Source organism: Homo sapiens, chromosome 3 (genome assembly GCF_000001405.40).
Source record: "Homo sapiens chromosome 3, GRCh38.p14 Primary Assembly".
NCBI lineage: Eukaryota > Metazoa > Chordata > Mammalia > Primates > Hominidae > Homo > Homo sapiens.
Genome location: NC_000003.12, coordinates 47,691,575 through 47,716,646, shown reverse-complemented (window position 1 = coordinate 47,716,646; position 25,072 = coordinate 47,691,575). Strand labels below are relative to the sequence as shown.

The 25,072-nt window shown below is 40.1% G+C and overlaps 1 protein-coding gene across 1 annotated transcript in view; it reads left to right on the top strand.

The window, feature by feature from the left end:
• The window catches only part of SMARCC1 (SWI/SNF related BAF chromatin remodeling complex subunit C1), a 196,625-nt gene that overhangs the window by 65,247 nt on the left and 106,306 nt on the right, over positions 1–25,072 (top strand). Inside the window, exons 8-12 of the mRNA NM_003074.4 lie at positions 2,157–2,232; positions 5,839–5,964; positions 10,117–10,238; positions 15,245–15,369; positions 23,347–23,406. Coding sequence (NP_003065.3) covers positions 2,157–2,232; positions 5,839–5,964; positions 10,117–10,238; positions 15,245–15,369; positions 23,347–23,406 — 509 coding nt within the window. The remainder of the gene's footprint in view (positions 1–2,156; positions 2,233–5,838; positions 5,965–10,116; positions 10,239–15,244; positions 15,370–23,346; positions 23,407–25,072) is intronic.

Genomic DNA, 25,072 nt, shown 5'->3' with positions numbered 1-25,072 from the left:
TTGGTATAAGTTCCAAAATAACACATTTTAAGACCATAGCCTGTTTGCTCACTTTTTCCTTATGTATCGAATAAGATGTGGCAGCTGGCTCAGGTTTTGTCTTAAGGAGTCTTGTTAATTCACTTTTTAAAAATTAACTATGGCCTGTGCCCTCACTTCTCCCCACATTTCAATTTCTAATCAAGACTGGAAGAGTATAAGGTTGGGTTTTTTTTTTTTTTTTTTTTTTTTGAGATGGAGTCTCACTCTCACCCAGGCTGGAGTGCAGTGGTGCGATCTAAGCTCACTGCAAACTCCACCTCCCAGGTTCATGCGATTCTCCTGCCTCAGCCTCCCAAGTAGCTGAGATTACAGGTGCACACTACAACGCCCCGCTAATTTTTGTATTTTTTAATAGAAACGGGATTTCACCATGTTGGCCAGGCTGGTCTTGAACTCCTTATACTTCAGGTGGTCCACTGCCTTGGCCTCCCAAAGTGCTGGAATTACAGGCGTGAGTCACTGTGCCTGGCCAGGTTCCATATTCTTTTGAACTGACCTCTGAATGGTGACTAAAAGGAAGCTAATACTTGTCATCATACTAGATGTCATTTGGTTTCATAGTTTACTGGTCAGTATAGTGATATTCACAGTGTTTTATTTTGGTTAAAATTTTGTGCCTATTTTATGATTTTGTTGGAGTAGGTGGTCTGATTTATGTCAGTGAGTTCTTGTTGATAAAGAGGCTCCTTGAGCAAAGAGATGTGAAGAAATAAGAGAGTAAGCTATATGGATATCTGGACAGTGAGGGAGCAATCTGTGTAGAGTGTATGCAGGCTTAGTAGGGAATGTTGGAATAATGTTATCAAAGCCTGTGTGGCTCAAATATAACATGAATAAGGACAGAAGAGCAGGAAATGGGGTCAGAGTCTCTGTCAGATAATTAGATCTTGAAGCCATGGCAAGCCATCGTTAGGTTTTTTACTTTCACTCTGATAGGGTGAGAGCAGTTGGAAGTGTTGGATCAGTAGAGTGATGTGGACTGACTTAGTTTTCAAAAAGATCACAATGGCTATGTGAAAAATTAACTCTTTGAGAGACCAAGAGACCAATGGCAGAAGCAGGAAAACCAGTGAGCAGAGTGGAGGGGTAAGAATTAGATAGATTCTAGACATACTTTTGAAGTTAGAGCTGGTCACATTTGCAGTTGGTTTGATTACAGGATGTGCTTGAGAATGGAATCAAGGCTGTTTCCAAGGATTTTGGCGAACAGCAGGAAGGATAAAGTTGTCATTACTGAAATGGAAATGATTGGCTAGAGTACATCGCTGGGGCCAGGGTAGCATTGCAAGTTGAGCTTTGAGTGTTAGGTTTGGAATGCTTGTTAGATGTTCTACACAAGGAGATGTGGAGTTGGCTGTTGGATTTATGAGTTCAGAATACATGGGAGAGTGCTGATATAAAATTTGAAGTCATCAGCGTATATTTGGAGTTATAGGAATGAATGAAATTAGCAAGGGAGAAGGATTTTTCCAAAAACTGAACCCAGGAACTTTTGGAGGTTGAAGACATTTGGGACTAAGACCAGAAACTGACATGGAAACTGAAGAGAGGCTGGTGAATATAAGGACTATCAGGTGATAGTACTTTCTTGGTGGCCAAGTGAGGGAAATGCTTTGAGGAAAGACCAAGCAGCTGTTTAAAATTTTTTGATCTTAGTCTTGAACTTCGGGTTTAGCAATATATACGTTACTGGTGACCTCTACAGAGGAGCTTTCTTGGCAGAATAGTAAGGACAAAAGTGTCTGATAAGTTTCTATTAATAGATTTTAGTAGTATTTCTTTTAGTTTTTTGTTTTGTTTTGTTTTGTTTCGAGATAGGGTATCACTCTGTTGCCTAGACTGAAGTGCAGTGGTGTGATCTCAGTTCACTGCAACCTCTGCCTCCTGGGTTCAAACGATTCTTCCACCTCAGCTTCCTGGGTAGTGGGGACTACAATCACATCCCACCATGCCCGGCTAATTTTTGTATTTTTTGGTAGAGACGCAGTTTCACCATGTTGACCAGGCTGGGATTTTAGTAGTATTTCTAAAACATGTTCTTATTATTTGTAAAAGTCTTTCTAATGAATTACCTTTGACTCTAATTTGTTTTTCTCATTTTGATTCCTTTATAGCTATGATACTTGGGTCCATAGTAATGATGTTGATGCTGAAATTGAAGATCCACCAATTCCAGAAAAACCATGGAAGGTAAATGATTTAACAAAAAAAATCTTACAATAATCTTTTTAAAATTTTTTTTGAGATGGCGTCTCACTCTGTCGCCCAGGCTAGAGTGGAGTGGTGCGATCTTGGCTTACTGCAACCTCCGCCTCCGGGTTCAAGTGATTCTCGTGCGTTAGCCTCCCAAGTAGCTGGGACTATAGGCACACGCCACCACGTTAGGCTAATTTTTGTATTTTTAGTAGAGACGGAGTTTTACTGGATTGGTCAGGCTGGCCTCAGCCTCCCGACCTCGGGTGATCGGCCTGCCTCAGCCTCCCAAAGTGCTGGGATTACAGGTGTAAGCCATCGTGCCTGGCCAAAAAAATTCTTACAATAATCTAATAGCTCTTCTCAGCTGTTTTCTACAGCAGTCTCTCTAAGGAGATACAGAATGTTGGTTTCCCTTTCCTGTCATCCATTTACAAGATACGTACGGCCATGAAGACTTTATTATCTAGGTCTTAGATGAAATGTCTGCAGTGCTTGATGTTTGAGGAGAATCCAAAGGCAGGTCAGATTGTGGTTTGTGAGAGAGGAGTGTGAGGAGTAGAGTTGAACATCACTGATGATGTCATTTGGGTAGCTTGGAAGCAATGCCTGTGTGACTTTTAGAATGATACAGACTTACTTTATTAATCATTTCTACCATAATGTAATAAGAGTCCATACATTGACTTTTAATCAACTTTTGATGTGGAAATAAAGTTTATGGGGCATGGTGGCTCACACCTGTAATAACAACACTTTGGGAGGCTAAGGCAGGAGGATTGCTTGACCAGCCTGAGCTACCAAAAAAAAAAAATTATCTGAGCATAATGTCAAGTGCCCTATAGTCCTAGCTACATACTTGGAAGGCTGAGGCAGGAGGATTGCTTGAGCTGAGGAGGTTGAGGCTGCAGTGAGCCGTGATTGCAACCACTTCACTCCAGCCTTTATAACAAGTTAAGACCCTGTCTCAAAACAAAAAAATTAATTTTACAAGTTGCAAGAGTAGTACAAAACAAAGCACTACTTGGTACCCTTCTTCCAGATTTATCTTTTATTTATTTATTTATTTATTTATTTATTTATTTATTTATTTTGAGACGGAGTCTGGCTCTGTCGCCCAGGCTGGAGTGCAGTGGCGCGATCTCGGCTTACGGCAAGCTCCACCTCCCGGGTTCACACCATTCTACCTCAGCCTTCTGAGTAGCTGGGATTACAGGCGCCCGCCACCAAGCCCGGCTAATTTTTCTTTTTTTAGTAGAGATGGGGTTTCACTGTGTTAGCCAGGATGGTCTCGATCTCCTGACCTTGTGATCTGCCCGCCTGGACCTCCCAAAGTGTTGGGATTACAGGTGTGAGCCATTGCGCCTGGCCCAGATTTTTCTGTTTTTAACTATTTTTGGAAATTAAATGTTGAAATTATACTATCATCTAATAGTAAAGGAGTAAGCCATGTGACTCATGAGCCATGTAATGTTGTGAAGTACTACTGAAGGATTTTTAGACATCTATTTCCCTGTAGATTATAGTATCAGAACTGGGAATGATTACTTAACTATGGTATCACATTATTAGGAAGGAAACTAGGCTCCACAAGTTAAGTAGTTTTACCCAAGGACACATGGACTTTTGTATTATTTTGACATGAAGGTATTTTTTATGAGAGAGATAACAAAGCATAGGACTTGAGAGCTCAGGGAGAACTTAGTGCAAATCCAAGCTTTGCCTCTAATTAGGAGTGTAAATAGTCAGCTTACTAAAACTGTTTGCCCAAGTTTTCTGATTTGGAAAGCCAGAGAGTATAATACCCGCATTATTTCACTGTGCTTAGGAGAGTTAAATGAGATTATACGTGTAAGATGTTCAGCATAGTGCCTGACACAAACAGTTGTTAGCTGTCACATACTCCTCTAACATTCTTTCTCAGGAGATTTCTTTCAAGGATTTCTCAGTAGTTAAAGGATTATCAGTGTGAAAATTCAGCTCTTTTAAAAAAAAAAGGAAGCAATGTATACACATGTTTCTCACACTTTGGAAAACACTATTTTGACATTTATTTTCTAAACTATCAGTTAATTAACCCTTTTATTTAGCACAGTCCTATTTTTTTTTTCTAACTAGCTTAAGCCTCTATTTATATACTCTATTTATTTATTTAGTTAGTTAGTTAGTTATTTATTTTGAGACGGAACTTCATTCTTGTTGCCCAGGCTGGAGTGCAATGGCGTGATCTTGGCTCACTGCAACCTCCGCCTCCTGGGTTCAAGTGATTCTCCTGCCTCAGCCTCCCGAGTAGCTGGGATTACAGGCATGTGCCACCACCTTAACTAATTTTTGTATTTTTAGTAGAAACGGGGTTTCTCCTTGTTGGTCAGGCTGGTCTTGAACTCCCGACCTCAGGTGATCTGCCCGCCTCAGCCTCCCAAAGTGCTGGGATTACAGGCATGAACCACCACGCCCGGCCTATACACTCTATTTATTCTGCTCTATTTATACTGCTCTGTTTATACACTCTTCCCATAATTTGTCCATTTAGGAGTCTTTTCAGGTTACATTATTGGAGGCTTTATTTGTCTTGGACAGGCTGTTAATTTGGTGTTTCTGTATATTACTGTGTAACTATAGTTTTCAAGGGAGAGGAGGCGTGTAGTCAGATGGGTATCATTCTTAACTCAAGGTACTTGAAAGGCATATCCCAAATAACCAGTTTAGTAGCTCTTTGAAAACAGGGAGTTTAGATTGACAAATTACTAGGAAGTTCATATTGTTTTCTAGTCATTGCCACAGTGTATCTTGTTTTTACAGTGTTCTAGAAAGGCTTCATAATTGTAATCTGTTCTTGACTGAACATGTTCATTTCAACCAACACTACTCCAACTTAAACCTCCACCATGACTTGAGTTTTTCTGTACAAGGAAGAATTTTCTAGTGTCAAATTCCAGTTGTGCCCCCATTGAGAAATACTGTTGGATAATATGGAATGTTATATGGGTTAGGCCTGTGGTTTAAGTATCTATCTATATGTATATATACATCTACATTTGTACGTCCACACAACCTTTCATTTTATTCTTACTCAGAAGCATGAAATTAAACAAGGGAGGTGGCCATATAAAGGACTAGGAAGAACCCACCATCTGACTGTCACTTTTCCATTCCTACCTAGAGCACCATGTGTACATGATGGGGCAGGTGATCGGCCTCTGCGAATGTGCTCTGTCATCAACACTTAGAGTGTTGTTGATAAACCCAAAGACATCCTTCGTGCCTAAAGCAATGACTGATTTTGGCTCTGTGCTGTTGAATGTTTTTATCAGTGATTTTCATGAACATAAGGATGAAATGATTAAGCAAAACAAATTTGAGGGACTTTGCTATCAAAATCTGGGTCTAGTATAAATTATTGATGCTTTCTTGTTCTCTTTAATATGGAATAAAAATAGAGATGATTAAATTACAACTCACATATCATTAGTAGTATCACATTATTAATGTTTTATGCATTTGAGGCTTTGAAAATAAATCAGCTTGTTTCCTTCTCAATACTGTAAAACCTTGAGTGATTTTGTTATTTATGTAGATATTGATGCTTTGATATGGTTTTAGGTTCATGTGAAATGGATTTTGGACACTGATATTTTCAATGAATGGATGAATGAGGAGGATTATGAGGTGGATGAAAATAGGAAGCCTGTGAGTTTTCGTCAGCGGATTTCAACCAAGAATGAAGAGGTATTTTCTTTGGCACAGTTTCTCATCATTAAGTCTGTCTTCTTGGCCTAAATGTTATTAAATCTTCATCAGTAAGCTGTCATATACAAACCACTTAGGAACTTTCACATCTGCCTGATGGCTGATGTGCCATCAGGTGAAAATTCCAAAGTGGCTGTAATAGCCATCTCAGAAACAATAACCTCCCAAAAAGTGGTATGAAAATCTTAAAAGGTTATTAAGATTTAAAGTGGCCCATGCAGAAGGGTAGTGGTATAGCTGATTTTGCCCACTAGATCTGAAGTGTAATATCACAGCAGAATTTAATGTAGCTGTTGGTTTTCCTATGCAAAACTCATTTTGTTTAGTATGTATATATATTTTTTGAGACAGAGTCTTGCTCTGTAGCCCAGGCTGGAGTACAGTGGCACTATCTCGGCTCACTGCAACCTCTGCCTCTTGGGTTGAAGCGATTCTCCTGCCTCAAGCCTCCCAAGTAGCTGGGATTATAGGCGCTTGCCACCATACCTGGCTAATTTTTGCATTTTTAGTAGAGACAGGGTTTCTCCATGTTGGCCAGGTTGGTCTCGAACTCCTGACCTCAGGTGATCAGCCTGCCTTGGCCTCTCAAAGTGCTGGGATTACAGGCATGAGCCACCACACCCGACCTGTTTAATATTCTTAAATAACTGTTAATCCACAGATGGTAGTTAGTGTAAAGTATAGGCCTTAAACATGTTAACAGTTATAGTTCAATCCACTTTTCTGAGGGTGGAGGACTTGACATTTTATATCATTTAATCTTTTAAGACGTTCAGTTGCTTAGATATTTACCCATGATTCCTTGTAAGGCACAAGTTGTGGAAGGACAACTTGTGTGGTAGGTGTCACTAGAAGACGACTTGACACTGAGAAGAAGGTGTGTTAGTATTGGGTTTGTGATAGCTTTTAGAGACTTCTGGTTCCTTTTCCTGGGGTGTTGTTTTACTTTTATTTTTTATTTATTTATTTATTTTTTGAGACAGATTCTCACTCTGTTGCCCAGGCTGGAATGCAGTGGCGCGATCTCGGCTCACTGCAACCTCCACCTGCTGGGTTCAAGCTATCCTCCTGCCTCAGCCTCCCAAGTAGTTGGGACTACAGGCACGTGCCACCACATCTGGCTAATTTTTGTATTTTTAGTAGAAACGGGATTTCACCATGTTGGCCAGGCTGGTCTTGAACTCTTAACCTCAGGTGATCTGACTGCCTCGGCCTCTCAAAGTGCTGGGATTACAGGCATGAGCCACCGCGCCTGACCTGTTTTACTTTATTGAAAAATCTTAGAGATGGATATTCTTTGAACCACTGACATGCAGAGTACAGTACTTTCATACCTATTTCAGTGCTGTGACTTTACTATGAAAACCTTACTGTTTTTCACATTAATTTTTTTTTTCCCTTGACAAGGGGTCTCGTTCTATTGCCCAGGCTGGAGTGCAGTGGAATGATCTTGGCTGAATGCAATGTCTGCCTCCTGGGTTCAAGTAATTCTCCTGCCTCAGCTTCCCAAGTACCTGGGATTACAGGCACGTGCCACCACACCTGGCTAATTTTTTTATTTTCAGTAGAGATGGAGTTTCACTATGTTGGCCAGGCTGATCTTGAACTTCTGACCTCAGTTGATCCACCGGCCTTGGCTTCCCAAAATGCTGGGATTACAGGTATGAGCCACTATGCCTTGCCAATTTTTAGGAAAAATATTAGGAAACAAAAATATTAAATGACTGGGCCCAGTGGCTCACACCTGTAATCCCAGCACTTTCGGAGGCCGAGGTAGGAGGATAGTTTGAGCCCAGAAGTTTGAGACCAGCCTGGGCAATGTAGCAAGACCTCGTCTCTTCAACTGATAAAAAATTTAGAGAAAAAAAAGAAAAGAAAAATGTTTTACAGTTGAGTCTTTGTCATACCTTTTTACTTGCAGTTGGTTGTCGTTTGTTTTGGAATTGGACTATTCAAAATTTTTTTTTTCCACCACTGTCTTATGGTGCTGAGGACTCTTCATATTCTCTTATTTTAACCTTTCCAGAAGATATACTTACATATTTGCTTTCCCTGAATATATTTTAATCCAAGGCTTTTTTGTCATTAGGAATATTCCAATTTCTATATTACATTATTTAACTGGCCAGTTCATACCCATTTCTGTTCAGATTTAGTTTGTTTGTTTATTCATTTATTTTTAGGAGGTTATATAGAAATGGATATTTGTTAAAAAATTAAGGGTTGGGCATGGTGGCTAAAGCCTGTAATTCCAGTACTTTGGGAGGCCAGGGTAGGTGGAGTGCTTGAGCCCAGGAGTCCAAGACTAGCCTGGGCAACATGGCAATACGCTGTCTCTGCAAAAAATACAAAAATTAGCTGGGCATGGTGGTGCGCAACTGTAGTCCCAGCTACATGGGAGGCTGAGGTGAGGGGGATCAATTGAGCCCAGGAGGTTAAGGCTTCAGTGATCCGTAATCACTTGAATTTGGGTAGTGGAGGTTGCAGTGAGCTGAGATCGCGCCACTGCACTCCAGCCTGGGTGTCAGAGTGAGACCCTGTCTCAAAAAAAAAAAAAAAAAAAAAAAAAAAAAAAAAAGAAAAAAAATTCAACTTCAGATTTACTGTATCATTCAAAGGTGTATATCCTTTAGATTTTTTTCAAACTGCTATTACATACTCATAAGGTGTTTAAGCTTCTCAGTTTGATGCTATGGAGCTTCTGAATGGAAATACAGTTGTAAGGAATAGGATGGCAACAGAGAAAATTAATGTTTAATTCATGGATTTTTTCATTTTAGCATGAGACAGAATCTCATTCTATCGCCTAGGCTGAAGTGCAGTGTTGCGATCATAGCACACTGTCACCTTGACCTTCGGAGCACAAGCTATCCTCCCGGCTCAGTATTCTGAGTAATTCGGGCCACAGACGCACACCCCTACATCCAGCTAACTTTTTTTTGTTTGTTTTTGTAGAGACAAGGTCTTACTATGTTTCCCAGGCTGGTCTTGAACTTCTGGGCTCAAGCATTCCCCCCGCCTCGGCCTCCCAAAGTGCTGGGATTACAGGTGTGAGCCACCGTGACCAGCCTAATTGATGTTTTAATTTTAGATTATTTACTTATGCCTCTGATGCTTTTACCTAATCTAGTACTGATAATTTAGGTGTTTTTTTCTTTATGATAGTCTATTTTATTAAATTGGTAGTTGCTGTATGCAGGCTTACTTTTGTTTGTTGATCTTAATGTCTTGCAACTTTCCTGAACTTGTTCATTAGGTCTGGAAGCTTTTTTTATGTATAAAATTGTATCATCTGCAAGCCGGGATAGTTTTTACTTATAAAGGTTGACTTTTTTTTTTTTTCCTTCTTTGAGACGGAGTCTTACTCTGTCACCTAGGGTGGAGTGCAGTGACATGATCATGATTCAGTGCAACCTTTGCCTACCGGGTTCAAGCAGTTCTCATGTCTCAGCCTCCTGAGTAGCTGGGAGTACAGGCATGCTCCACCATACCCAGCTAAATTTTTGTATTTTTAGTAGAGATGGGCTTTCCCTGTGTTGGAGAGGTTGGTCTTGAACTCCTTGCCTCAAGTGATCTTCCCGCCTCGGCTTCCCAAAGTGCTGAGATTACAGGCATGAGCCATGGCACCCAGCCTAGACATTGACTTTAAATCATGTTGCCATCTTGCTTAACATTTCTTATGACATGAAGTTATCTTCTGTTTATTTTAGAGATTAAGAATAATTCCTATAATGCTACATTTTCACAGGATCGTTTGGCCTGTCTTTGTATTTTGTCAGTTTAGTAGAGTGTATTTCACATTTTTCCAGTAGTTATTGAAATACAATTCTCACCTCAAAACAGAATGTGAACAGTAGCAGTTTTTAGTTGTGCAGGGTTTCAGCATGTCTGTTATAGCATAGTTTGAATAACTGATAGCCGATATTTCCATTGATGATATATATCACCTGAAAGGTCAGGGAAAGTTTCTTGATTACTGGTGTTCCTGGATGATTAATGATATTCTTTTTATTTGCTCTGAACTAAGGATATGCTGTTGTCTTTGTGTGTGGAGATTCACCTTTTGCCAAGGATTTGTAGAAACTGAGGAGCAAAGATAGCTGATACTTATTTCCATTTACTTCTTCCTAGCCAGTCAGAAGTCCAGAAAGAAGAGATAGAAAAGCATCAGCTAATGCTCGAAAGAGGAAACATTCGCCTTCGCCTCCCCCTCCGACACCAACAGAATCACGGAAGAAGAGTGGGAAGAAAGGGTAAGAACTATTACATGATTCAAAGGGCATTAAAACAGGCCGGACGTGGTGGCTTACACTTATAATCCCAGCACTTTTGGAGGCTGAGGTGGGCAGATCAACTGAGGTCAGTAGTTCAAATCCAGCCTGGCCAACATGGTGAAACCTCGTCTCTACTAAAAATATAAAAATTAGCTGGGCACGGTGGTGCACGCCTGTCATCCCAGCTACTTGGGAGGCTGAGGCTGGAGAATCACTTGGAATTTTTTTTTTTTTTTGTATCTAAGTATGTATTGAGAAGCATGACTGGTAAGAAGTTTAAGACATTATATTCACCATGTTTAGTGTCTCCTTTTCTGATTTTACCACTTGTCCCATTTGTGATCAAATAAGCTCATAGAAGAGATGAATATGTGGCTGCTTGATGTTCTGCAAAGCATGGCAGTACAACGCCTGGTTCAGGGCTACACTTTTGTACTTAGTGAGCTTTGGTTGAATGAGGATTACGATTTCTACTGAATAGATTGTTTTGAGGGTTAAATGAGACTTTAAAGCCTTTGCACATTGCCTGGCTTTAAATACACACTTAATAAATGGTAAATAGTACTTAATAATTAATTGGTATATATTAAGTTACATAATTTCTGGTTTGCCTAGCTTAAAATATTTTCATTATAATTTTTATAGTTTAGACTTGGCAAGACAATTATGGTTTGTAAATTGATTATTTTCATGTGACAGTCAACTTTTTGGATGTTGATTGAAGTGTAAAGATACAATTGACATCTCTCCTGCAGCTTCCTTATATAGACTTTCCTCTCTACCCTAGTTGGCATTTCTGTTCCCAGAACATGCCTTGAATCGTATTATTTCCTGAAGGGTAGTTATGACAACACTCTTACTAATAGAAGTCTTTAGGGACATTTAAAAACCTCTTAGTTTCATATATTATTAAGCAAGTTACACTCATCAAAAAACCTTTAAAAACTTAGTTTTTGAGCCCACACATATTATGACATGAAAATTGAAATTATAAAAATAGATTTTTCGTTAGCTGTTTATGGGGTAACTATTTTTTATAGTTCGTTTTTTTTTTTTTTTTTTTTGAGACGGAGTCTCGCTCTGTTACCAGGCTGGAGTGCAGTGGCACAATCTCAGCTCACTGCAACCTCTGCCTCCCATGTTCAAGCGATTGTCCTGCCTCAGCCTCCCTAGTGGCTGGGACTACAGGCTCGTGCCACCACGCCCAGCTAATTTTTTTTGTATTTTTAGTAGAGACGGGGTTTCACCACGTTGGTCAGGGTGGTCTCAATCTCCTGACCTCGTGATCCACCTGCCTCGGCCTCCCAAAGTGCTGGGATTACAGGCGTGAGCCACTGTGCCTGGCATACATTCCTTTTATATATGTTTAACATTTCATCTTTTTTTTTTTTTTTTTTTGAGACAGGGTCATGAGCCACCGTGCCTGGCCTACATTCTTTTTATATATATTTAACATTTCATCTTTTTTTTTGAGACAGGGTCTTGCTCTGTTGCCCAGACTGGAGCACAGTGGTGCGATCTTGGCCCATTGCAGCCTCCATCTCCTGGGCTCAGGCGATTCTCCTACCTCAGCCTCTGGAGTAGCTGAGACTACAGGTGCGCAATACCCCACCCAGCTAATTTTTGTATTTTTTGTAGAGATAGTGTCTTGTCTTGTTACCCACACTGGTCTCCAACTCCTGGTCTCAAGCAATTCTTCCACCTCGGCCTCCCAACGTGTTGGGATTATTTGCGTGAGCCACCACACCTGGCCTGTTTCTTACATTTCTAATCTGAATATTGTTGTTGCTGTTCAGAGATTTTGGAACTACATGAGATCTTTGCAGGGAGCGCACTGTCAACTATAATGAGATAAAATGGGGTGCCAGGACACCAGTGGTTATTGAACCAAGATGTGATCTCTAGGAGGCATGAGGCTCACAGTGGTGACATATACCCTCTACTCTGAATATAACGCATACCAGATTGAGTTCTCTAAAATATATGTATGCATGTACTTTAATGGAATACATTTGCCTTGTAATGACCACGCCTTTTCTCATTTTACATTTCTCCTTAGAGTTATGTTAAAAATATACTTAGAAAATATTTTGAAATCTGTTTTCCCAACTTTTGTTTCATTCATCTGCACTGTATGTTTTCTTCCCCTTTAAGTATTTTATCTCTCTGCTGCCTTTAGGTTTATAGGCTTTTAAAAAAATCATCATGCAGCACTTGTCTTTCAAGTTGCCTGCTTGGCCCTCTTCCAAGTGTACTCTCCTTCCTTTTGTTTAAAAAATAAATAAATAAAGGCCGGGTGCAGTGGCTCATGCCTGTAATCCCAGCACTTTGGGAGGCCGAGACGGGCGGATCACGAGGTCAGGAGATTGAGACCATGCTGGCTAACACGGTGAAACGCTGTCTCTACTAAAAATACAAAAAAAATTAGCCGGGTGTGGTGGCAGGCGCCTGTAGTCCCAGCTACTCAAGAGGCTGAGGCAGGAGAATGGCATGAACCCAGGAGGCGGAGCTTGCAGTGAGCTGAGATCGCGCCACTGCACTCTAGCCTGGGTGACAGAGGAAGACTCTATCTCAAAAACAAAAACAAAACTCATCATGCGATTTTTATTTGGAAAAAAATTTTCCTTTATGTATCCTATTCAACCTAAGCCAATATGTCATCCCTCAAAGGGAACTTTGAGCATTCGCTCTGCACTGTAGAACTCAGGCTGGCCCAGCATGCTGTTTCAGACAGCTTTTTCTCCATTTCCACTCTCACTTCACAGTGCAGTTTAGATTGCTACCCAGTACTTCCCAAAGCAAGTGTGTTTTTCTTTTCTTATACCTTTTGGCCATTATTCTACATCCTGAAGCATTGTCTTTCTTTATTATTTTATTTATTTATTTTTGCCAGACAAGATCTTGCTCTTTGGCAGAAAAAAAAAATGATAACAAATAAATTAGGGGTTTAAATTAGTATAATAACATCTGCTGAGGAATAAATGAATAAAAATAATAATTAAAACAAGACAGTGCTTCAGGATGCAGAATAAAGGCTGGAGGGCAGTGGTGCAGTCATGTAACCTTAAAACCCTGAGGTCAAGCAGTCCTCCTCAGTGGCTAGGACTACAGGTGCATGCCACCATGCCCGGCTTAGCATTAAAAACTTTTTGGAGGCCGGGCGTGATGGCCCATGCCTGTAATCCTAGCACTTTGGGAGGCTGAGGTGGGCAGATTGCCTGAGCTCAGGAGTTAGAGACCAGCCTGGGCAGCATGGTGAAACCCCGTCTCTACTAAAAATACAAAAAAAAAATTAGCCGGTGCGTGATTGAGCGCCCTTGTAATCCCAGCTACTGGGGAGGCTGAGGCATGAGAATTGCTTGAACCTGGGAAGGAAAAGATTGCAGTGAGCTGAGATAGTGCCACTTCTCTCCAGCCTGGGCAACAGAGCAAGACTGTCTCCTACCCCCGCCCCCACCAAAACAAAAGAAAAGAAAACAAAACTTTTTGGGCCAGGAGCCAGTGGCTCTTGCCTGCAATCCCAGCACTTTGGGAGGCCAAGGTAGGAGGATGGCTTAAGTTTGAGATCACCTGAGGCAACATAGTGAAACCCTGTATCTAGAATAAATTAGAGAAAGAAAAATAGTCTGGGCATGATGGTGTGCACCTATAGTCTCAGCTACTCAGGAGCCTGAGGCAGGAGGATCACTTGAGCTGAGGAGTTCAAGGATGCAGTGACCTGTGATTGCACCACTGCATTCCAGCTTGGACAACAGAGTGAGACCCTGTCTTAAAATTTAAATTTTTTGTTTTTTGGTAGAGATGGGGTCTCGCCCTGTTTCCGAGGCTGGTCTCGAACTCCTGGCCTCGAGCAATTCTTCTGCCTTGCCCTTCCAATGTTCTGGGATTACAGGCATGAGCCACCACACCCAGCCCTTACCTCTTAGTGAATTGTTAAACAATTCTCAAGGTTCAGCTTAACTCTGACCTTCAGTCCTTACAATCTCTCTATGATGTATTTTCTTGGTACTTTTATTCATTTCTCTGCACTGAAATATAATACTTCTATCGTATTTCTCTCTGTATGAATCATGTTATGTGAGGTAAAGATTTCTGTCCTATATCCCTTGTAATCCCTAAAGGTAAAGAATCATCACTGGGGTTTTTTTTTTTTTTTTGAGCCCCCTGACATTTATTAGTTTTAAAATTAATAATGATTTGATTGAATTTTTGGTGCAAGAGCAGTGGAAGATTTTATACAAAAGAATTAGTACTATATTTAGGGATTCTACTTGTAGTTCCTGATATTTGGATGATAAAAGGGCCATTAAAACACAATGGTACGTATCTTTGATCACATATGTGATTGCTTATAATCTTAGAATATATCATATTTCCTTAGCAGTTGTTATTTTATTACACTAATTTAGGTCCCTTTTGTGATACTGCCCGCAATTGTCTAGTAGGATTTTTTGCCCATTTTTTATGCCTGTTAACTTTTATTTTTCTTTTATTGGCTGGTTAGATGTAATTTGGGGGAAGTTATCTAATTTTTTCTTTTTAATGTTTGCCTTTTTTATTTTTAAAAATTCTTTTAGATGGAGTCTCTCTCTGTCACCCAGGCAGGAGTGCACTGGCGCCATCTCAGCTCACTCCAACCTCCACCTTCCGGGTTCAAGCGATTCTCCTACCTCAGTCTGCTGAGCAGATGGGATTACAGGCGCCTGCCACCATGCCCGGCTTATTTTTGTATTTTCAGTAGAGACGGGGATTCGCTATGTTGGTCAGGCTGGTCTCAAACTCCTGACCTTAGTGATCCACCTGCCTCGGCCTCCCAAAGTGCTCTGATTACAGGCATGAACCACCGCGACCGACCTACTGTTTGTCTTTTAAAGTGATCTTGAGCATATGTTCTACAAATAATGAAGGTGTACAACCTCAGAAACTGTTTGCTATCAGTAGCTATAATCAGTCTTGTTTATATTTCATATACTTGTATGTTTTAGCCAAGCTAGCCTTTATGGGAAGCGCAGAAGTCAGAAAGAGGAAGATGAGCAAGAAGATCTAACCAAGGATATGGAAGACCCAACACCTGTACCCAATATAGAAGAAGTAGTACTTCCCAAAAATGGTTTGTATTCTTCTGCATGAGAGTGTTAGATTTAATTTAGTCATTCTCAGCAATACCATGGGATGATTCATTGCTTGCTGTGGGTCCACAGTTCTCGACTTTCAAGTATGAATAGATTGTCCCTTTTATGGATATCTTTTTTTAATTTTCTTTAATCATTTGAGTAGTTTTACTCTTTGTTTATAGAGAAAACTTACAGCGACCAAAAACATCTTTAATTTAGTAATGTTTTAAAATTAATGGTTTTTAAATTGCAACAGAATCACATTCATATGAAAAAGTGGAATACGTACCTATATATAGTTTAACTTATTGAAATCTCTAGGGAATGCTTTATGTGGATGCAAATTTGAAGTTCTCTGGTAATGAATTTCTTCTAAGTGTGATGAACCTTAGTTACCAGTTATGTAAATTCTGGCCTAACTTCTATTCAATGTAATTAAATTCAAAGTGGGCTGGGCATGGTGGCTTATACCTGTAACCCCAGCACTTGGGGAGACCAAAGCAGACAGATCACTTGAGGTTAGGAGTTCAAGACCAGCCTGGCCAATGTGGTGAAACCCCATCTCTACTAAAAATATAGAAATTAGCCAGGCATGGTGGTGCGTGCCTGTAATTCCCGCTACTCCAGAGGCTGAGGCAGAAGAATCACTTGAAGGAGGTTGCAGGAGGCGGAGGTTGCAGTGAGCTGAGATCATACCACTGCACTCCAGCCTGGGCGACAGAGTGAGACTCAGTCTCAAAAACAAAAACAAAAAACAAAAAACAACCCAAAATGTTCTTTATTGATAAGGTATTTTTTATTGACCATTAAATGTTTGTGTCCTCAGTGAGCCAGTGATCACATTTTCAAAAAATAAGCTCTAGCATACTTCGAAAAGTAAAGACCTATGATAGGCATTTTATGATTTATTAGCCTTCTTCACCCATCTTTGTGGGAGCAGCTTGTAAATAAGAGACTATATATATCAGTTGGTGAATTACAGGTCTCATACTAATCATCCAAGTTTATAGAATTTCACTGAAATCTAGAAAGTGGAGATTTAAAATTTGGGGACTAGAAACTAAGTCATTAAAGTTATTGGTAGGTTTTTTTTTTTAATATACTTTATTGAAATGAAATAACAGGAGGAATTAGAACCTTTTCTGGTTATTAGGAGATGAATTACAGTTCTTCAAAACAGCCTAAGATGAAGGATTGTAGTAAATTATATCTCTTTTTTATTTTACTATTCTGTGAGCATGAAAAATAATGAAAAAGTAGAAGAAAAAAATCTAGGATTTAGATTAAGATGTATATGAAGCATATAACCATCTCTCCTGCCCTAAACTTGTACAGTGACAGACAGAAAAGAGTATTAAAAAAAAGCCTAGGAAAACCAGAACATTATTTTTCATTATTGAGAAATTTGTAAAATATAGGAAGCTATCTGGATCTAAAAGTAAGATGAGTTACTAAAACTCAGGAAGTATACGGTTAAAAATAGGAGAAGACTATATGGTTTATATGGCACTAAACAGAGCAATTGATAAGTCTGTATGATTTATCTGGCACTAAACACAGAGCAATTGATAATTAAGATGGGCACTGGGTGTATATATGTATATACATAGATATATACATGTAGGGCAATATACATATGTATATACCTATGTATAGACATATAGAGCAATATACATATGTATAGACATATAGGGCAATATACATATGTATAAGATGGGCACTGGATGTATATATGTATATACATATGTATATACATACAGGGCAGTTAAGAATACTAGGAGAAGCTAGACTCATCAGCGTTGGTCTGTATGTATTTTGCACTCAGCTGATGGTGTGTTGTCTGGTCGAAGGCTAAAGCACTAACGCTGAAGGTGACAAAGATGCAAGGAAAATGTCCCAAGCAGTTCTTGAACTCCAGATGGAGGGATTAAAGGATAAAAAAATAATAAGCAGGAGAATTAGTACTTGTCCTTTTTATTGGTTTTCTGTTTTCTAGTGAATTTATAAATTTAGCATTTGATTTTTCTGAATTTAAGTATAACCAGTTCAAGCCCCTATTCACAGTTGCTTGGATTTTCATTTTCTTAACACTTTTTTTTTGGAGGACAGGTGCTCTTAACTTTTCTTGTGTCCTAAGAAATTTTTTGCCTATATTAGTGTTGCAAATGTGTTTTTCTGTGTTTTCTTGTAGAAAGCTTATGCCTTCTGCTTTTATAGTTAGGTCTGTGACCCAATTTAAAGTTGTTTTTGAGGATGTTATGAATTAAGGGTTGAAGTTAATTTTATTCCCCACATAGGTATTTAGTTGTTTGTATACCATTTGCTGAAAAGACACTACTTCTCACATTGAACTATTTTGCTGCCTTTGTTGAAAATCATCACACATGTCTACATTTAGATTCAGTATTCTATTCTAACCATCTCATTGTACTTAATACCACAGGGCCTGAGTTATTATAGTTTTTTTTTTTAGTAAGTATTGAAATTGAGTAAACTCCTTCAACTTTTGTTCACATTTTTCAATATTGTTTTTGCTATTATAGCTCTTAGGTTTTCCATGTAAGTTTTAGCACCAGCATTTAATGTAATTTTTCCTCTTCTGTGGTTTGTATGTTTTATTAGAGGTCTTTCACATTTTGTTAAATTTATATCTCATTTTTTTTGTTACTGACAGTGTAAATTTTTCCACTTATTTTTTCCTAGTATGTGGAAAGAGAATTAATATTCCTTAATTTTTGGCCGTGTATTCTATTGCTTTTTAAAAAATCATGTATTCTGGCACTTTTTTGTAGATTTCTTAGGATTTTCTATTACACAAACCTCCAATTATATTATACCTCCACTGTAATTTTCAATAGCGGTTTAGAAAGCAGACATTTTTGCTTTTTTCTCTGTCTTCGAAAGAACACATTTATATTTTACCATGGTGTGTGATATCACACAATAGATGTTTCATCAATTTCAGGAAGCTTTCTTCCTGGATTTTTCTGAGTTTTTATGAATGAATGCCAAATTTTGATACCGTTCTTCAGTATCCACTGATGTAATGATATTTCTCCTTTTAATCAGTTAATATTATTTAATTGTAAGATTTTTGTAGTGGTTGAATCAACTTTGCATTCCTGGAATTTACCTCATTTGATGACATTGTATTTTTTTTTTTAATGTGTTGGCTATATTTGATTGTTTAATATACTTTAAAAGGATTATTTTAGTCTGTATTTGTGGAGGATATTTATCTTTTTTTTTTTTTTTTTTTTTTTTTTTTGAGGCGGAGGCTCGCTCTCGCCCAGGCTGGAGTGCAGTGGCGCGATCTCGACTCACTGCACGCTTTACCTCCCAGGTTCACACCGTTCTCCTGCCTCAGCCTCCTGAGTAGCTGGGAATACAGGTGCCCACTACCATGCCTGGCTAATTTTTTTGTATTTTTAGTAGAGACGGGGTTTCACCATGTTAGCCAGGATGGTCTCGATCTCCTGACCTCATGATCCGCCCGCCTTGGCCTCCCAAAGTGCTGGGATTACAGGCGTGAGCCACTGTGCCCGTCCAGATATTGATCTTTAACTTTCTGTTCTTAGCATTTTCTCATCAGGTTTTGCTGTCATGGTTATGCTGGCCTCATAAAATGAGTTTGGAATTTTTTTTTTTTTTTCCCTTAAGAGTCAGGGTCAAGGCCAGGTGCAGTGGCTCACACCTGTAATCCCAGCATTTGGGTAGGCTGAGGCGGGAGGATCACTTGAGGCCAGGAGTTCAAGACTAGCCTGGCCAACAAGTTGAAACCAGAGCTCTACTAAAAATACAAAAATTAGCCTGGCGTGGTGGCGCATACCTGTAGTCCCAGGCTACTCGGGAGGCTGAGGCAAGAGAATCGCTTGAACCCGGGAGGCGGAGGTTGCAGTGAGCCACGATCACGCCAGGGCACTCCAGCCTGGGCGACAGAGCCAGACTCCATCTAAAAAAAAAAAAAAAAAGTCAGGATCTCTCGCTCTTTCGCCCAGGCTGGAGTGCATTGGCAGTCACGTCTTGCTGCTCACTCAAGTGATACTCCCACCTCAGCCTCTCGTTTCAGCTGGGATACAGGTGCTCACCACCACATTTGCTTAATTTTTATTCATTGTAGAGACACGGTCTTGCCATACCGCCCAAGCTGGTCTCAAACTCCTGAGCTCAAGCAATCTACCCTCCTCAGCCTCCCAAATTGCAAGCTACCATGTCTGGCTTATTTTGTAGTTAATTCCTAATTAAAATCTATGGCAGAGCTGGACATGGTGGCCTTTCCCTGTAGTCCTAGCTATTCAGTGAGAGGATTGCTGGAAACCAAGGACATTGAGGCTTCAGTGAGCCATGATTGCATCACTGCACTGCAGCCTGGGCTAAGGAGTGAGACCCCGATTCAAAAAAACCCAAAATCATTCACTGAAAATCTAGTCTTTCGAAATTTATTCACACTTGGCTGGGCGCGGTGGCTCATGCCTGTAATCCCACCACTTTGGGAGGTCAAGGCGGGTGGATCACCTGAGGTCAAGAGTTCAAGACCAGCCTGGACAACATGGAGAAACCCTGTCTCTACTAAAAATACAAAAAAAAATTAGCCGGGTGTGGTGGTGGGTGCCTGTAATCCCAGCTACTCAGGAGGCTGAGGCAGGAGAATCACTTGAACTCGGGAGGCAGAGGTTGCAGTGAGCCGAGATTGCACCGTTGCATTCCAGCCTGGGCGATGAGTGAAGCTCTGTTTCAAAAAAAAAAAAAAATTATTCACACTTGTTTTATTTCACAGCATATAGTCTACTTTGGTGAACCTTTGCTTATACTACTTGAAAAGGACATATGTTGTGCCGTTTTTGAGTCTAGTGTTGTATAAATTTGTTTGTGTTTTGTTTTTTTGTTTTGTTTTGTTTCTGAGACAGAGTCTCGCTCTGTTGCCGAGGTTGGAGTGCAGTGGTGCAATCTCAGCTCACTGCAACCTCAGCCCCCAGGATTCTAGTGATTGTCCTGCCTCAGCCTCCTGAGTAGCTGAGATTATAGGCGCCCGCCACCACGCCTGGCTAATTTTTTTTGTATTTTTAGTAGAGATGGGGTTTTGCCATATTGGCCAGGCTGGTCCCGAACTTCTGATCTCAGGTGATCCACCCGCCTTGGCCTCCCAAAGTGCTAGGATTACAGGCATGAGCCACCTCGCCTGGCCCCCCCCCCCCCTTTTTTTTTTTGAGACAGCGTCTTGCTCAGTCACCCAGGCTGGAGTGCCGTGGCATAATCTCGGCTCACTGCAACCTCCGCCTCTTGAGTTCAAGTGATTCTCATGCCTCAGCCTCCCGAGTAGCTGGGATTACAGGCATGCACCACCACGCCCGGCTGATTTTTTTTGTATTTTTAGTAGAGACGGGGTTTCACCTTGGCCAGGCAGGTCTTGAACTCCTGACCTCAGGTGATCTGCCCACCTCAGCTGCCTAAAGTGCTGGGATTACAGGCGTGAGCCACACTGCGTCCAACTTTTTTTTTTTTTTTTTTTTTGAGACAGAATCTTGCTCTGTTGCCCAGGCTGGAGTGCATTGGCATGATCTCTGCTCACTGCAACCTCCGCCGGGTTCGTGTGATTCTTCTGCTTCAGCCTCCCTAGTAGCTGGGATTACAGGTGCCTTCCACCATGCCCTACTAATTTTTGTATTTTTAGTAGAGACAGGGTTTCACCACGTTGGCCAGGCTGGTCTTGAACTCCTGACCTTAGGTGATCTGCCTGCCTTGTCCTTCCAAAGTTCTGCGATTACAAGCATGAGCCACCGCGCCCGGATGACAAAGTAACTTTTATTCAACCACTACAGGGACAGATGCTGAGGGTGAAGTAGAAAACAGGCATTCAGTTTTCCAGTGTATGATTTTATGCATAATATAGCATTGTTTTAATTGAGATATACTTCACATAACATTAAATTAATTATTGTAAAGTACATACTTGCATTGTCACCCAGACTGGAATAACAGCTATGCGATCATAACTCACTGCAGACTTCACCTCCTAGGCTCAAGCGTTTCTTGTGCCTCAGCATCCCTGGTAGCTAGGACTTACAGGCATGAGCCACTACACCCAGTTATAAGGGCATTAATCCTGTTCTTGAGGGGCCTATCCTCCTGACTTAATTATTTTCCAAAGGCCTTACTTCTAAATACCAGGACACTACAGTTGGGTTTCAACATACGAATTTTGTGAGCACACATTTTTTCCCGTTACTATGTGTTTAGCTCATCAAATATGTTTAGAATCACTGTTACATAATTGAGGTTAAAATGTAAGAAATTTAGCACTTTAAACAGGTTTTTTTTGTAGGGGGAGAAAGTATTTACCATTTAACAAAGGACTAGAATCCTAAAAATGTATAAAGAATCTGAACCCCTTAGACTAAATTACATAGTATTTACCGTTGATTATGTCAGATTGGTAATTTGTTAGAAATAAATACATGGCCAAGAAGTGTGTGAACAGATGGTCAGCCTCACTTAAGAATATGCAAGTTCTTCAAATCACTATTTTCATCTATAAGATTTTCAAAACCTAAAAGGTAGATGGAAAAGTGTGAAAGTTTTGAGGAATGAGTACTATCAAATGCTGTTGATGAAAGTGTAAATTAATGAAGACATTCAATGCAATTTGGCTGTGGTTTTTTGTTGTTGTTGTTTTTGAGACTGAGTCTCGCTCTGTTGTCCAGGCTGGAATGCAGTGGTGCGATCTCAGCTCATTGCAACTTCCACCTCCCGGGTTCAAGTGATTCTCTTGCCTTAGCCTCCCGAGCAGCTGGGATTACACATGCGCACCACCATGCCCAGCTAGTTTTTGTATTTTAGTACAGACAGAATTTCACCATGTTGGCCAAGCTGGTCTAAGACTCCTGACCTCAAGTGATACACCTGCCTCAACCTCCCAAAGTGCTGGGATTACAGGCATGAGCCACCTCACCTGGCCTTGGCTGTGTTTTTAAAATTTTAAAATGTGTACCTCTAGTTGCAGTGTTTTATTTTTAGAGTTTATCTTAAATAATTGCATGCACCCACAAAGATAATTACAAAAGAATGTTTTTGAACAGTGAAATATTCAAAATAAACATGGTTTCCATCAGTGTAGGGCTGGTTAACTTACAGTCCACCTATGGACACAGTGGACTTGTAAAAATGAAAGAAATGTAATGTAATTTAAAGTTCTTACATGGAAAGAAGGTCCGTGCTAAGAACTAAGCACAGTATTGATAACATTTACATAGAGTTAAAAAACTCTCAGGATATATTTTGACATCCATGTGGATGTATAAAAGATATTCGTTTGGCCGGACGCAGTGGCTCATGTCTGTGATCCCGGCATTTTGGGAGGCTGATGCGAATGGATTGCATGAGCTCAGGAGTTCGAGACCAGCCTGGGCAACATGGCAAAACCATGTTTCTATAAAAAATACAAAAATTAACTAGGTGTGGTGGCATGCGCCCATAGTCCCAATTACTTGGGAGCCTGAGATCAAAGGATCGCTTGAGCCTGGGAGGTCAAGGCTGCAGTGAGCCATGATCGCACCACTGCACTCAAGTCTGGGCGACAGACTGAGTCCCTGTCTGAAAACAAACTAAAAAGGTATTAGTTCTTCCTTAATTTTTTTTAAAAGAATGAATGGATTAGAAGTGAGAATCAAAACAAATGCATCATAAACTTTAATAAAAAAAACTTTTGTGGAAGGGATTGAAAGATTGTTTTCATGTTTTGTTGAGTATTTTGTATTGTTTGCTTTTATGATGAAACTATATGGTGCTTGGGTAATGAGAATATAGTCTGTTAAATATTTCATAGCTGGGCTTATGATTTTTACCTGAAAGTGTATTGAATGGTGTTGCAGTTGTAGTGAGATGCATGTCGTTTAATCATGTCCTATTCTGTTTTCTTTCTAAAAAGAAGTACAACTTTTCCCACATAAACATAACTCTTTTTTTTCTTTTTCTAGTGAACCTAAAGAAAGATAGTGAAAATACACCTGTTAAAGGAGGAACTGTAGCGGATCTAGGTAAGCACCTAAAATCTATACACTGGTCTGTGCTTTCTGTCTTGAATATGTCATCTCCTTTGATAGTCTATTCTTCCAAGGTCTTGTTCTGTTGGTCAGGCTGGAGTGCAGTGGTGTAATATAGCTCACCACAGCTTTAAACTTCTGGGCTCCAGCGATTTTCCTACCTTAGTCTTCCAAGTAGTTCGGATTATAGGCACACACCACCATGCCCAGCTTGATACACTCCTTCTTTTCTTTTTTTTTTAAGACGGAATCTCACTCTGTCACCCAGGGCTCACTGCAACCTCTGCCTCCTGGGTTTAAGTGATTCTCCTGTCTCAGCCTCCTGAGTAGCTAGGATTACAGGCTTGCGCCACCACGCCCAGCTAATTTTTGTATTTTTAGTAGAGACGGGGTTTCACCATGTTCAGGCCTGTCTCGAACTCCTGACCTCATGATCCGCCTGTCTCGGCCTCCCAAAGTGCTGGGATTACAGGCGTGAGCCACCGTGACTGGCCGATACTCCTTTCTTAAGTGAGACTTGTGCTTAGCCACTACAGGATATTAGCTGTGGCTTATTCTTAGTGCCATTATGATTTGGTTTGCTACTGTTGTAAGAGAGTTAATTTCCTGTGATCCATTGTTGCCATTCTTAGTGATCTCCCCCTCTTGGAGCATAATATTTTTGTACAAACTAGGGAAGGTGGTAATAATATAATTGAATAAGAATATGAGTTTTAAGGAAATAGTTCTAATTAAAGTACTTTTTCAAATGTCACTGAAAGAATTGTTTTTGTAACAGTATGCAAAATGATACTGTATTGTTAGAACAAAAATCTGTGGAGTGTTAATACTTTGTAAGCCAAATTAAAGTTTCTAAGCAGTATAAAATGAGAATGACATCATCCTTTCCTAGTATTTCCAAGTCTTAGAGTACATTTTCACAAGTAAGGTATAATTCTTGAGTGATTTTGCAGGAGAATAGAAAAGAGTATAATCACTTGTTCTCCTTAAACATTAAATAGGGGTAGTTTTAAACATCTTTGTTCTGGAGAGTTGTAGATGAGACATTAGGCTTGATTTCTTTTCTTCACTTGTAAAGGAGAACCTATTGTTTTCAGTATTTACTAAAATTTTGACTTTACGGAACTTTAAACCTGAAAGGGATTTTCAAGATCTTTTTTAGAAAATGAGATGTCAGTTCTATCTTCTAATTAAGGAATTCTGTATTTGAATAAATTGCAGTCATTATTATTTTTTGAGACGGAGCCTCGGTCTGTTACCCAGGCTGGAGTACAGTGGCACGATCTTGGTTACTGCAACCTCCTCCTCCCGGGTTCAAGCAATTCTCCTGCCTCAGCCCCCTGAGTAGCTGGGACTACAGGCACGTGCCACCACGCCCAGCTAATTTTTGTATTATTAGTAGACATGGGGTTTTACCGGGTTGGCCAGGCTGATCTCAAACTCCTGACCTCAGTTGATCCACCCACCTCAGCCTCCCAAAGTGCTGGGATTACAGGCATGAGCTTTCGGGCCTGGCAATTACAGTTATTATTGATGGCAGATACGAGTGGGTATTTTGGAGAGTGATCCATCAACTGTAAATTTTTGTTCTCAGAGCTGTTGTATTTTGTTTTTTGTTTTGAGACAAAGTCTCGCTCTTGTCACCCAGCCTGGAGTGCAA